A 15,458-nucleotide genomic window follows, 5' to 3' on the forward strand; every position below is an offset into this window, starting at 1 on the left:
TAGCCTGACAAACATGGAGAAACCCCGTCTCTACTAAAAATACAAAATTAGCCTGGTATGGTAGTGCATGCCTGTAATCCCAGTTACTCAGGAAGGCTGAGGCAGGAGAATCACCTGAATCCAGGCGGAGGTTGCAGTGAGCTGAGATCTCGCCATTGCACTCCAGCCTGGGCAACAGGAGTGAAACTCCGTCTCAAAAAAAAAAAAAAAAGTAAAAAAAAAGAAAGCACCAGTATCAAAATCTCCTTAATGAATATCGGCAACATGGCAGACAATACCAGAGCAGGGCACTCTGTTAAGAAAGGCTCTATCATCTCAGCTCCTTATAACATATAAGTGAATCATTTTTTGAAAATCATAGACATCAATGACTGTGCAATTAAAAAGCTGTAGAAATACCGAGTTGGACTCCAAACATGAAGCTTTTAAGAAATATCTTGATTGATATATTTATCTTATATTTTTCTTTCTTTATGCAAACAAGTGACATGAAACAATAATCTGTGTTTAAATAGGAATTAATTTAAAAGTTCATGAGGATAAAATGCACAAATTTTAAAAATTATAATGTAATTCACTCTGCGGTGTTTTTATTTAGTAGTACCTTATATAATGGTCAATCCTACAATCTGTGGTATCTTATACTAAATGATATGGTGCCAATATTTTATCATTTAATCATCAGCAATTTTTAAAAGTCAGATATTTAAAGAAAATGTTGTGTCTTATTAGGCTGGTGCAAAAGTAATTGTGGTTTCAGATAGTGAATTTTAAATCATTGTAACTAGGCTCAAACACATCTTTATTGATCGAAGTAGGAGCCATTACAATCAACACATTTTTGTCAAGGAGAAATGTTTGTTTATTCCTGTAGTGTAAAAATCCATGCTTCGGGATTCGACAAACTCTTGGAAAGCATTTTCTGCATCCTGCTGGTTGTGGAAGCATTTTCCCTGCAAAAAATTGTCAAGATGCTAGAAAAAGTGGTAGTCGGCTGGCAAGAGGTCAGGTAAATACGGCAGATGAGGCAAACCTTCCAACCCAATTCGTTCAATTTTTGACGCATTGGTTGTGTCATGTGCGGTCCTGCGTTGCTGTGGAGAAGAATTGAGCCCTTTCTGTTGACCAATGTTGGAGGCAGGCATTGAAGTTTTCAGTGCATCTCATCCATTTGCTGAGCATAATTATCTGAGATCACGGTTTTACCAGGGTTCAGAAAACTGTAGTGGATCAGACTGGCAGCAGACCACCAAACAGTGACCACGACCTGTTTTTGGTGCAAGTTTGGCTTTGGGAAGTGCTTTGGAGCTTCTTCTCAGTCCAACCACTGAGCTGGTCATTACTGGTTGTCTTATAAAATCCACTTTTCATCCCACATCACAATCTGATGAGAAATGGTTCGTTGTTGTTGCATACAATAAGAGAAGGCGAAACTTCAAAACAACGATTTTTTTTTCTTTTTTTTTTTTTTTTTTTGGTCAGCTCATGAGGCACCCACTTACTGAGATTTGTCACCTTTCCAGTTTTCTTCAAATGTCAAACAACAGTAAAATGGTCGACATTGAATTATTTGGCAACTTCTTGTGTAGTTTTAAGAAGATCAGTTTCGATGATTGCTCTTAATTGGTCGTTGTCAACTTGCAATAGCCAGCCACTAAGCTCCTCATCTTCAAGGCTCTCATCTCCTTTGGAAAAGTTCTTGAACCACCACTGCACTGGACATTTGTTAACAGTTCCTGGACCAAATGTGTTATTAATGTTATAAGTTGTCTTCATTGCTTTACAACCCATTTTGAACTCAAATAAGAAAATAGCTCGAATTTGGCTTTGTCTAACATCATTTCTATAGTCTAAAATAAACATGAAATAAACAAGTGGTAAGTTATTAGCAAAAAAAAGTGAAAATTGCCCATTAAAATGATGTATAACATGACCAGATTTACTTAAGAACGTATTCCAAAATCAAATGGCCAATTCCAACAATGCAAAAACTGTGTTACCTTTGCTCCAACCTAGTATCTTGAGGATCAAGGAAATGGCACTAAATATTTTTTCATTGTGTTCATGAAAATAATTCCTTAGCAATAGCAGTAGCACTCAACAGGAAAGAAGATAAAAACATAGAAATGAGATATTAAATATAAGCATATATATACATATACCTATAAGCATATATGGCAATATAAATCTGTGTCTCTGTGCGTATATACATTGAGTTAAAATAAATTTGACCAGAGACTGTCTCTTTTTCTTGAGTTTTTACATAACAAACTGCAATCTGACTTAGTAGGTAACCCAACTGAAGGCCTAACTTAGCATATTTTTTGTAACAACTAACTGAGTCTCTGCCAATCACAGTAGTTGAACTTCAGTCAGTCAGAGGCCGCCAACTGGTGACCATGCCCAAATAAGGCCAAAGCTGTAACCATTTTTGCTGCTCCTGTACCTCACTTCCATTTTCTGCCTAGAAAAGCTGTCGACTCAAGTTGCAGAACTTGAGAAATGCTGTGAACAACTTTTGATTCTGAAAACTGCCCAATTTACATCACAAATGTTCTTTGCTCAATTACACTTTGTTTAATTTGTCTAAAGTTTTTCTTTTAATTATGTGTGTGTGTGCATGTGCACATCCACGTGCAGGCATGTACGTATACTTTTAGGATGCCATCAGGCTGCCCACAGGTATGATATTAACTCTTTCATTAATTGTCTTTTATTGTCACTGTTTGTGTAACAAAACACAGGGAAAGGATCCCTATCATCAAGTGGTTTGCACGTCCATGGCATAGCATTGTAAGATTTTATTTTCCCATTTATGGCAAGAGTTAAAATGAGTTATATGACATTTTTTCACACTCTTCTATAAAATAGATATTCCCATTGCATGTTTAATTATTGAATTCCATTTTTATGATTGCTTGTATCAATTGTTATTGCTGAATTCAGAAGAGTTAAGAGAGAAAGTGTTTCTCCCAACTTATAAAGTATCAGTGAAGGTTAAATTAAACATAAGTTTCAACCACTAACTAGGTGCCATTTTGCCAGATGCAATGAATAAAATGTGAATCAAACTCAGTTCCTTCCCTGAGGATGTTTATGTTCTAGGGCTGTTACCTTTGACTAGAATTCAATGTTGTAGTGAGAAACAAATCTGTTAAATTAAATGTTATCAGCTTTTGGGAAACTACTTCCTATTTGTGAATTCACTGGACATTTACAAAAGCCTACAATGTATCAGATGCATTATTAGGTACAGGAGACTCAAAGATAAATAAAACGTAGTTGCTGTACCCAAGGAGACTATAAATTTGTTCACAATATAAACACTATTAATATATAATTATACTGCATTATATTTTAAGATACAATTAATACATATATTATGGTTATATTGATGGCATAACTAATAAAAATAATGAATGCTTACATATATTATGGTATATATTGATGGCATAGCTATTAAAAATAATGAATGCTTATACGTGTTAGACACAATATTAAGAGCTTTGCCTATATTATACCTGACGAGGTAGTTGTATCATTATGATTACCATTTTCAGTTGAAGAAGTTGAGACACAGACATTGAATCCCTTAAACAGGTAGTAGTGTTGTTCTAGAATTTGGACCCAGGAAGTCTACTTCCAGAGTAAGGAAGGGAATAAACAATGATGATTAAGCAATAGCTATCATAGCAGTTTAAGCATAATTATAAAGAAAGAACAATTCACTCTTCCTGAGGTAACTGGAAATGTCTAAATAAGGAAACCAAGATTTAACTGAATTTTAAGAAAGAAGTCTACCTCTGTTTTTTTTTTTTTTTTTTTTTTTTTTGAGACGGAGTCTCACTCTGTCGCCTAGGCTGGGGTCCAGTGGCACTATCTTGGCTCACTGCAACCTCTGCCTCCCAGGATCAAGAGATTCTCCTGCCTCAGCCTCCCAAGTAGCTAGGACTACAGGCATGCACCACCACACCTGGCTAATTTTTTTGTATTTTTAGTCGAGACGAGGTTTCACCATATTGGTCAGGCTGGTCTTGAACTCCTGACCTCGTGATCTGCCCACCTCAGTCTCCCAAAGTGCTGGGATTACAGATGTGGGCCACCTCACCCGGCCTCTATTTATTTTTCAAGTTATAAGGCTATACACATGTATCAAATGTATCATGGTTCCACTCTCGTTACAAAAAGTATATATGCCTCACGATAAAAGTAGTATTAATTTAAATCCCAGCTAACTTCTTCACTTCTTAGATATGTTCCCAGAAATGTTAAAACTTCTCCATGGTTTAACATTTCTCATATGTTAAAAGAGGATAATAATACCATATTTGAAGATCTCACTGCCAAGTATCTATTAGTGCTTATGCTTTAAAAATGGCTACTAGGCAATAGCAAGGAGTTTGAATTAACACCCGCTTCAGATTCCGTGTTTCGAACGTGTGGTCCCAAAGCCAGCATTTTATAATTAGGGTCACCATATGTCTGGATTTTAAGATATATTACTAATTTCAAATAATCATTTTAATTCTTTAATTTTTTTAAAATTACAAATTAGAAAAAAGAATTTTCAACCATGTGTCAAATGCATAATCATTGTACTTAAACATCTATGACTGTAAAATATCAGATGACCTGGCTCTCCAACTGGTATAAATACTAAAAAAAATGCTAATTTTCTAACTCTTTTTTTGTTCTATTATCACCGGGCTGTTGACTCAGGCCTGGATTTTTGTAAGCATTTCTAGAGGACACCTGCCCTTTCAATCTCTTAAAATGTTTCATTTGTGCCTCTTTCTATGAATATGTGCTTTTGGAAGTGGGAATCTCACGTTATATGTTGCTGCTCGTTAGTTTCAATTGAATAGGCCTCATTTCTTTTCCAAAAATTCTAGGAAAACTCATTATATTCCTCTATAAATTGATTATGGATCGCATTTCTTCTATGAAATAATATGGTTAGAAAAAATAAAGTATTATAAATAATCTGTTATGATCACTCATGACTTCGTGAAAATCAGAAATATGGTTAAAAAAAAAAGCTGTTTTGAGAGCCCCTGACTTTAATTTAGACTAGCTGTCCCCCCAGTGCCTATGTCTGAGGATGGATAGCTTCTGACAGCTGCATTAAGAATGGCATAGGGTCACGGTTATTATGATTTCTCATGATCTCATTATGAACCAAGAAAAGAATATATTGTAGAGGGGAAAAATGGAATTTTTATATGTCAGCCACAGATCTGAGGAATCTGGCATACATTCTGGCTTCTTAGGCAAAATCCAGTAAAAGTGACACAAAATGAACCTGTATGCCACACTTTCTAAAATTCAGAATGTTGCTTTAGCACCCTGATTGGCTTGACAACTACTGGTGAATTCTAATTTGGAAAACAATCCAAAATTAGCATACAAGTCTTCTAAATTGTATTATAAATTTTGTTCTTTATGTATTAAAGCAAATATTCCAGAGGCACATTCTTTGGATAATTTAAAGATTAACTCCTACACAGATTGGCAACAGGCTTGACTTCCTAGGCTCACTCCAGTTGATAATGACCATCTGAGGCCAGCGTTGCAGGATGCTTGGGCTTAGTCAGAAAGCTTGTCGAGCAATGTGAGTCAGAGGAATGCACACTAAGTGCATGTGGTCCTGATCCTCAGCTCACCTTCTGTGTCCTAAAGCACAAGATGCTGTCCAACCATTTCTCTCCACTCGATGTAAGGAAAATCAAAGAAAAATAAAAACAGAAAACTATATATGGGATGTTTTCTGTGGAAGGAATTTAAACTTGGATAATCTATGATTATAATAGTCAAAACTGTTGTTAGATATTTAATATCAGTGTAGCTTATGGGGAGAACATACAATTTGTTTTTTCTCATTTACAGTAAAATCGTTGTTGCATGAATAAACTGGTTTTAAGGGAGAATATTTTAATATAATTTTACATAACTTTCACAACACCTTTTTTCCAAGAGTTCAATACTTGAAAGATGAAATTGATGAAACATTTAAATGTGTATATTTATAATATATTAAAAGTGGCATATTTAGACTTAGTAATGCAGCATTTTATCTGCCCAACTAAAGGTGACATCAACTTCTATCTCTTCTGGACAGTTGGTACAACTTGGGACTTTAGACTCAGCAATAGAGTGGTAGCTGGGAAGTCAGGACATGAATAAGAGACATGATGAGCGGGTATGGGCTATTTATGACATAAAATTTTAGAGTAAATAGAAAGCATATTTATAAAAGTCTTTGAAATTCAAGGCACATTCTTTGAAAATAATAGAAACTCTGTAACTAGGTTTAAATAAGAAAAATTTAATTATAAATTTAAGATCCATTCACCCAAAGGAAAATGAAACTCATCAAGCAAGAGCACTTACCATGATTTTTGTTTATGTTTTCCCTTTTCAAGTATATAACAAAATTTGGATGAGGGTATTTTTCCTCATCCAAAAGGATATTATTGACATTTGTGTGTCAATAGTATTATTAGGTTGTTTATATTTCTGAAATGTAATGCCAGGAGAATAAATGCTAACATCTCTATCACATAAATTAATGGGAAATGATGCTGTAATAATCAGGAAATGTGAATGATCAGAAAGATCAAGTGTTTACAGAAAAATATGTTTTTTTTTAGAAAAAATTTCCAAACTCTTGTTGAAAAACAAAAGGTAGTAAAATTACGACTATCATATTCAGGTGATGTCTGTTACTCACATGTGACACATCACTCACATGTGACACATCACTCACATGTGACACATCACTCACATGTGACACTCCAAACTCTCATGTTGTCAGACTTGTGGTGACTACACTTTGAGAAGACAGAAGTAAAAGTTGATTTTAGTAGTATAGAGAGCTAAAATGCTTCACACCTAAGTTATAATAAACTACTTTCAATGTATTATATATGAATAGTGTGTTTTAAAATGTCATTTTTATACAATGATATATACATTGTATAATTTATATATTCAAACATCGAATATTGGTGAAAACATGGTCTTGTAAATTTGTACAGCTAACTAGAGAGATTCTACCTGTGTCAATAGGGAACAAACAAAGAATAAGCTTTTTTAATTCATGGAAAGAAAAAAAAATAATGATGACTTGAACTTCACCCACTAGCCTCTGTGAACACTGAACACAGCTGAAAATATAACTTTCATCAGGTGCCTGAAAGATTTTCAGGATTTAAGGAAATTCAGCAGGAGACCACATTAAGTGTGTTTCAATCAGCAGGAAGCTTCTGTACTTTATGGCTTTCTCTTATGAAAGTACGTTCCTCAGAAGATATATTTTAAGTTATATAAATCTAAAAATATACAAGTACCACGTTTCTATTAGAGGTGAATACAGGAGTCTCTCTGTAAAATATGCTTTGATTTTCTTCATCACCTATATTTTCTATATTGAGAAATAGATATTCTTAAAATAATTCCATAACAAAGTCATTCAATATTTTTTCAAATAACTTAAAATTTCACAATTTTAGTTGCAGTCAAACATTTCATATCACAGGGGAGATATAAAAGAGATCCTCAATTCATTTTCACTGAAATAAGGAGAGTATTTATAACCTTCCAAACAGGAGATCTGGAAATAGGACTGCTTGAGTAATGATGTGGCAAAGCTCTAGATTCAGTTCTCTGCATGTTCAACTCTATCTTCCTTGACATGTTGGTTCGTTCTAAATCTCACAGCAAGAACATTGCTACAGTTCCAAGAATCAAATCCATTGATAATACATGACACAGGGCAACTAGAAAGTGCAACAGCCTCTCCAACGTGTTATCTTCATAGTTTCATGTCATTCTTTAACCAATTACTCTGAGAAAGGGATGAGAAAGACTGAGAATCACCTACATGTTGAGGAGTGAAACTCCATAACTTTCATCTCTTAACCCTTGCCTAAGACACTAGGATTGGAACTTTCTTGGGAAGAAACCTGGGGCTATGAAAGTAAATTTAATAAACATATATATATGTTCAAAAGGAAATGGCTTATTTTTCAACTATCAGTTACTAAAAGAAAAAATTCTCTTTTCCAAACAAATGGAAATAGCTGACTAATAAATAATCTACAATAACTAATAAGCAACAGCATCTGAAAGACAACCAAAACCCTGCTTTTAATAAAAACTTGCTCTGGGCTGATTTAGTAAAACCTAAAGTCTAGGATCTTGAATGCACCATGTAAGACTTGTATTTATGTTTTTATTGTCATAGTCAATATGATAAGCTACTATCTAACATAGTCATTATATTTTGCCCTACTTTGTACAAATTGCTCTATGTAGAATGTGTACTTTCAGGTTTTGATACATTGAAAACAGAAGTTTTAGAAAGTGAGTGATATATATCTTTAAAACTTCACTAGAAAAGTGCTTGGAATAAAAGCATGATCTAATAATAGGTTATATAGGTTTTAATTAAATAGCTAGTGAGATTCCATCTGTGTCAATAGGGGAGCAAACACAAATTAACTTTTTTTCTTAATTCATGGAAAAAAAAGAGTGACAACCTGTATTTTTTCAAACTACCTCTTTCTAAATAGTGAACACAGCTGAAGATATAATTTTCCTCAGGCCTTTTTGAAAGATATATGGAATTTACAAAAATTCAGCAGGCGATCAAATTAAGTGTATTTCCATCAGCAGGAGTATTCTGTATTGTATGGTTTTCTCCTATGCAAATATTAAAGTTGAAGGTAAGTACATGAAAAATTGTTCATAATTTTAAAGGAAATCTTGAACTGATAGCCACATTCCTCCCTTTTGTGGGAAGAAATGAGCTTTCATTATACCTTAGGTTTTGATTTAAACATTCTTCTTGCTTTGAGAAGATAGAAGTAAAAGTTACTTTTAGTAGTACAGGGAGTTAAAATGCTAAGTCATAATAAGCCACTTTCAATATGTTATATATGAACAGTATGTTTATAAATGTCCTGATTTTCATACAATGATATATACATTTTATAATTTATACATTCAAACAGTGAATGTATACATTCAAATATTTGGAGCAGTGTTTCTAATATGTCTTTTGAGGAGCAAAACAAGAAAAAATTAAATGAGAGTGTAAAATCAGGAAGGCGTTTTTGTATTTTGTTTTTTAACTGTGTTGCTTGTTGTAGAAACAGATATGTGTATGACAGGGTGTAATGGCAATGGCAGGCAGCAGTGATTTTAAAAACATCAGTGTCGGCCGGGTGCGGTGGCTCATGCCTGTAATCCCAGCACTTTGGGAGGCCAAGGTGGGTGGATCACGAGGTCAGGAGATCGAGACCTTCCTGGCTAACATGGTGAAACCCCATCTCTACTACAAATACAAAAAATTAGCCAGGCGTGGTGGTGGACGCCTGTAGTCCCAGCTACTCGGGAGGCTGAGGCAGAAGAATGGTGTGTACCCAGGAGGTGGACCTTGCAGTGAGCCAAGATCCTGCCACTGCACTCCAGCCTGGGCAACAGAGCGAGACTCTATCTCAAAAAAAAAAAAAAAATTGGTACGTTATGCCACATAGTGGTAGCAGTGAGAGCAAAACAAAAGCACCAGTAAATGAAACTCCTCTCCAGTTTGGTGCTTAAACCCTAAAGAGGTCAGCAGATAATTTTAGGGTCTCAAATTATAGTAAATATAACAACGTCCAATTCCTGTCAATTAACTTACCAGAATTACTGTTTGGTGATCAATCAGGCTTTCAAGTCACAGCCAACCCACAGAACCCCTGGGACTTACAAGTGGTGTATAAAAAATATCAACATATGTCATAAATGAAAACAAAATGTATACTTAAGCAAGAGAAGGCAACCAGAGTAAAAAAATGTCAAAAGTCAGTCTGGATTAACTAGAAGACCCAATATAGACAGTAGTTGATAAACAAAACTAGATTTATTTATCTCTGAGGAACAGAAGGAAGCCATCATAGTCAAGGATTTATATCAGAAAATCCGCAAAATTGTTCTAGACAGACAGAAAAACAAGTTTCCAGATCATAAAATATTTACAAGGTATGCATAGAATTTTGAGTGAAAATTACTCTACAGTGAGTGATTGTCACATCAGACTATCGAAAAGTTCAATAGTGCCAAAATAGAATACTAGAAAATATATATTATAGGAGTTGAAATCATTAAAAGATTTTTTCTTATTCTAAAAGAGATTAAGTCTGGAGGTTAACCTAAGACTCAAAGAAAATTATAAATCTAAATGTGTATATTAAATATTGGCAGGTAACTACCCCAAAAATGCAAACTATAATGGCTGAATCAATGGAGGCAAAAAGAACAGAAATATTTTAAATGCAAAAAGAAGTTGATGGCTCTCATCAAACCCTGCAAAACTTTAGAGCTTGCAATTTAATTTGCCATTATTGTCAGGTTGTAGTTTGAGTTTTGCACACATATAAATAACTAATTTAATAAAGGGCATAAAACCTTTTCCTGTTTGCCCTGAAAATAGTTGTTGGTGGTGTTCGTGGCTGTAATGTTTACCCTGAGATAACTTTGCCACGAAATATTTCTCTTTTGTTATTATTTTCATATAACTCTGGGATATCAATTTTGGAAACAAAAGACATCATTCTATTTATAGTATTCTGGTTTTAGTAATGGGATTTCCATTTACCAAATATAGTAATTCTGGGTTGCTGAAAATGCCAAATCCTAGAAAACATAGCATTCTTACTCATGAGTTCTCAAACAGTTGCTGGCTGAAGATTCATTTGATGAATTCAGTTTTTCCAAAATAGGCAATTCTGATGATTCAGACAATTCTGCTATTAGTTCTGTTTAGAAATAACTCCAAGAACAGCTGTTATATTTTATTTTCATGTTGAAAATCAGTCAGATTTGCTTCAGCCTCAAAGAGTGTGTTTATGTAAAATTAAATGAACACTGGCCGTGAACTGTACTTTTTCTTTTCTAAATAGGAAAAAGGTTTAAAGAAAATGAATTATAAACCAGCTTCAACTATCTTCATTATTATATCAATCTTTAATATAGTCTGGTCGTTAAATTTTAATATTCATACTATTTTAATTAATTTTAAGGTACTGAAATTTGGATCTCCTCACTTACTAAATATGCATAGTAAGGAAGAAAATGTTTTTGATTGTTTTATGTTTAAATACTAATTGGGGTCCCCAGGGCATAAACTAAGAAAACAACTAAAAAATGTATATTAAGGGTATTGATGTTAAAAGCCAAACTATGTAAAATATTTAAAGATGTTTATTCTGAGTCAATATGAGTAACCATGGTCCAAGCACAGTCCCAAAAGGTCCTAAGAATGTGTGCTCAAGGTTGTTTGGTTACAGTTGGCTTTATACATTTTAGGGAGACAGAAGTTACAGGCAAAGACATAGATAAATACATACAAGGTATACATTGGTTCAGTCTAAAGAGATGGGATATCGTGAATTTGATGGAGGGGCTCACAGGTTATAGGTGGATTTAAAGATTATCTGACTAACAATTGGTTGAGAGAGATAAGCTTTGTCTAAAGACTTAGGAAGTCACTAGAAAGACATGCTTGAGTTAAGATAAGGGGTTTTGAGGAAGCCACAGTTCTTGTTATGTAGATGAAGCCTCTAAGTATCTGACTTCAGAAAGAATAGGTGGTAAATGTCTCTTTTGAGACCTTAAAGTGTATCAGAACCTAGTTAAATCTCTCCTAAATCCAGGAAAGAACTAGAAAGGGAAGGGGATTTTCTACAGATGCAAATTTACCCCAGAAGTGGGGGCCATTTCAAAATATGTCCAAGAAATATATTTTGGTGTAAAATACTTTTATTTCCTTCAGGGCCTGCTATTTGTCATGTGATGCTATAGCAGAGTCAACTTGGAATTTAGTGTCTTATTGCCACAAAGAGTCTATTTGATCAGTTTCATGATCTCTGTGTTAATGTTAATGCTGGTCGGTTGTGCCTAAACTCCAAAAGAGAGAGGGTATAATGAGGTGCGTCCAAACTCCTTTCCTGTCATGATTGGGGATTCTGTTTTTCAGGTTTCCCTTGGCCCATAAGAAGTCCACTCAGCTGGTTGGGGAGCTTAGGGTTTTCTTTTTGGTTTACAAGCGGAACTGCGAATTAGAATAATGCATTTAAGGGATTTTTAAGTTCTAGCTTTGACATGTAAAGAGCTTAACAGGAGTCACTCTTATCTTTATAACAACAACAACAAAAGAACAAAATGAAGTTTTATGATTTTATTGGGCCAATCAGAAAACTGAAGTTGGAGGGGAAAATGACACCCTGAAATCTGAAGAGACAGACACATCCAGAGAGATACAGAAACAGATCTGTTTACCTGGAGCAGGAGTGCTGGAGCCATTAACTGGTACAAGCCCTGGAACAGTAATTGTGACGAATCACAGGAGGCTGGATGTGGTCTAGTGTGAGGGTGAGAAGCTTCTGGGAGCTGCAGTCTCAGAGAGCCAGTTGCACTTTCCAGGGCTTTATCTCCAGGAACACACCAGCTTCTCACTGTAAAGATCCAAATAAGATCCCCATATGACTCTGGAAGAGGAGAGGAAGAGCAATCATTGCGAAATAGGCCTAGAGTGCTGGCCACAAAAAAGTCCACCCTCCAGGGAAACACTTCCTAGGGTCTTTTCTCACCTGAGCAAGGGCATTCCTCAACCTCCACCCACTCTGTTCTGACTGTCTCACATAAGGAGAGAAAAAATAAATCTCCATCAGAAGAGAATCACAGTGAAAGTTACTGCTTATAGTTACAGGCCCATGAAGAGACAGATTTAATCATAAGATTGTAGAAAAGTTTCTCTTTTTTGTACTTTAAAACACCACCAAAGAAGACCCCATAAAACAGTGATTTAGAGCTTAAATGATTCGAGATAGAGACTCTCTAAAAGAGGGATATCACAGAAACCGAAAGCCAAAGGGAGGCACAACAACAAGGACACTGGAGGAACTTGAGGTCAATGGCACTGACAGTAACAGCAAACATTAAATAAAAAGCTAAAATCCTAACCATATTAGCATAAATCATCACAAGAAAGGCCCATTTACCTGAATTGGTATTAACTGATACAGCATGTTATCACTCTATGAAACCATAAAAGGCAACCAAATGCATGAAAAAATAGAATCTGAAGGAAAAAAAGCAAGCATTAGAAACAGATTCAGACATGATATATAAATGTTGGAATTTTTACCTAAAGAAATTAAAATTGATACAGGAGCTAAAAAGAAATTATTTAGGCAGATAGTGAGGGTAAGAGATCCTCAGTGGAATTTCCTTTTAATAAAAAGCAGCCCCCAAATCATTTCTTTTCTAAAAAAAAAAGTTAGTCTAAAAAATCAGGCTACAAACATAGATAAGCAAACTAGAAGCTTGCACAGGTAAATGCCAGCAGCTGTGTGAATAGAAAAGGGATAGTTGAAAACCAGGTATGTTCAACATGGAGGCTCCATCTTCCCTTTACTTTGTCACCACGTGTGCAGTAAAAAGCAGGCAACATGGCGCAGATCAGTCAGGTAACCCATCTGCATAACAAAAGATTAGGATGGGGTGGCCAGCTTCTTCATACACTGTGTAAATGGCACACCTGGTCCAACCAATCCTTTGTGCCCTATGTAAATCAAACACCACCTCGTCAAGCTCATCTATAAAACCAACCACATCTTGCCACAAACAGGGAGATTGATTTGGAACACCCTCCCTCTCTGCACGAGGGAGCTTTTCTCCTTTGCCTATTAAACTTCTGGTTTTTTTTGTGTGGTTTTTTTTTTTTGAGACGGAGTCACACTCTGTCATCAAGCTGGAGTGCAGTGGTGCGATCTTGGCTCACTGCAACCTCCACCTCCAGGTTTCAAGTGATTCTTCTGCCTCAGCCTCCTGAGTAGCTGGGATTACAGGCACCTGGACCACACTTAACTAATCTTTCTATTTTTAGTAGGGACGGGTTTCACCATGTTGGCCAGGATGGTCTCGATCTCTTGACCTTGTTATCTGTCCGCCTTGGCCTCCCAAAGTGCTGGTATTACAGGCGTGAGCCACCGCACCAGGCCTAAATTTCTGCTCTCAAAGTCATTCCTTGTATGTCTGAACCCTTGATTTCCTTGGTGTGAGACAAGGAACCTCGAGTATTACCCCAGAAAAACAATGCCGCTTCACAATGACTATAATTAGTATGATAAGGGCTTTAATGAAAAAATGTAGACAGCATGCTAGAATATATGGATAATGAAAGCAGAGATAAGGTAACTCTAAAGAAAGAATAAAATGCAAATGTTAGATACAATAATGAAGAAAAATTGCAACGGCATTGAAGAATGCCTTCAATGGACTCAACAGTCAAAAAATCAGTGATCTTAAAGACAGATTGATGGAAACTTTTCAAGCAGAAATACAGAGATAAGAACAAATGGAAATGGAAATGGGGGGAAAGAATATCCAAAAATAGAATTACAAGAACCATGGAGCAATTACAAATGTGTATGTGATTGGAATACCAGAGAAGAAATAAAGAATGGAGACATATATTTGAAGTACTGATAGATAAGAATTTGCTAAAATTAGTGACAGAGACCTGACCAGAAATCTAGGGAGTTCAACAAACACAAATAAAATAAAACCAAAATATCTATGCTGAGGCAGCTACTAAGTGGCGAGTGGCACATACAGCATGGGTACGCTGGACACCAGGAGGATTCACGTTCCAGGAAGGGTGGAGAAAGATGGTGGGAAGATTTATCATGCTATGCACAATGTACAGAATTTAAAATTTATATATTGTTTATTTATAAAATCTTCTATTTAACATTTCAGGCCAAAGTTGACTGTGAGCAACTGAAGCAAGGAAAAGTGAAACCACAGATAAAGGGGACAGCTGTATTTTATATGATCTCATTGTATAATCTCCTCTTGCTTGTAAATTTAACACAAAGACAAATAGTTACAAACATTAATGTAATGACACCAATATTTTACCTAACTACACCAATGTTAATCTAATTAGGTCAAAACTACTTTAAATCTGAATGGTGTAAATACAAATAAAAAACAAAGACAGCAGGATGAATTTAAAAAATCCCAAATCTATGTTATCAATAAATAATTCCATTTTCATTAGAGACTTAGATAATTTAAAACTAAAGGAATGGTTACAAAAAAAAAAAAAAAAAAAAAGAAAGACAGAATATATGTATGGAATAGAAAAATCAAATTTCACAATAAACTAGGCCTAACATACATAGAATACTTCAGCCCAAAACAGCAGAATGTACATCATTCTCAAAATTGCACATTCTTCAAGATAGACCATACATTACAGTTGAAAATAAGTCTCAATATGTTTTATAGGATGGATATTCAGATTATCTTCTCTGATTGCAATAAGATGAAATTAAAAAAAAAAAAAAAGGAAGAAAACCTGAGGATTTGCTGGCAAGATGGCTGAATAGGAACAGCTCCGGTCT

At 35.1% G+C, this 15,458-nt stretch overlaps 1 annotated feature.

Moving 5' to 3' along the window:
• Window positions 11,152–12,125: an enhancer, noted in NCBI's record as "OCT4-NANOG hESC enhancer chr8:52002970-52003943 (GRCh37/hg19 assembly coordinates)". NCBI's record gives its function as "activates a minimal SCP1, AML or CMV promoter by ChIP-STARR-seq in naive H9 embryonic stem cells {active_cell/tissue: H9 hESC(naive)}" and the evidence as "EXISTENCE:reporter gene assay evidence [ECO:0000049][PMID:30033119]".

Source organism: Homo sapiens, chromosome 8 (assembly GCF_000001405.40).
Source record: "Homo sapiens chromosome 8, GRCh38.p14 Primary Assembly".
Lineage (NCBI taxonomy): Eukaryota > Metazoa > Chordata > Mammalia > Primates > Hominidae > Homo > Homo sapiens.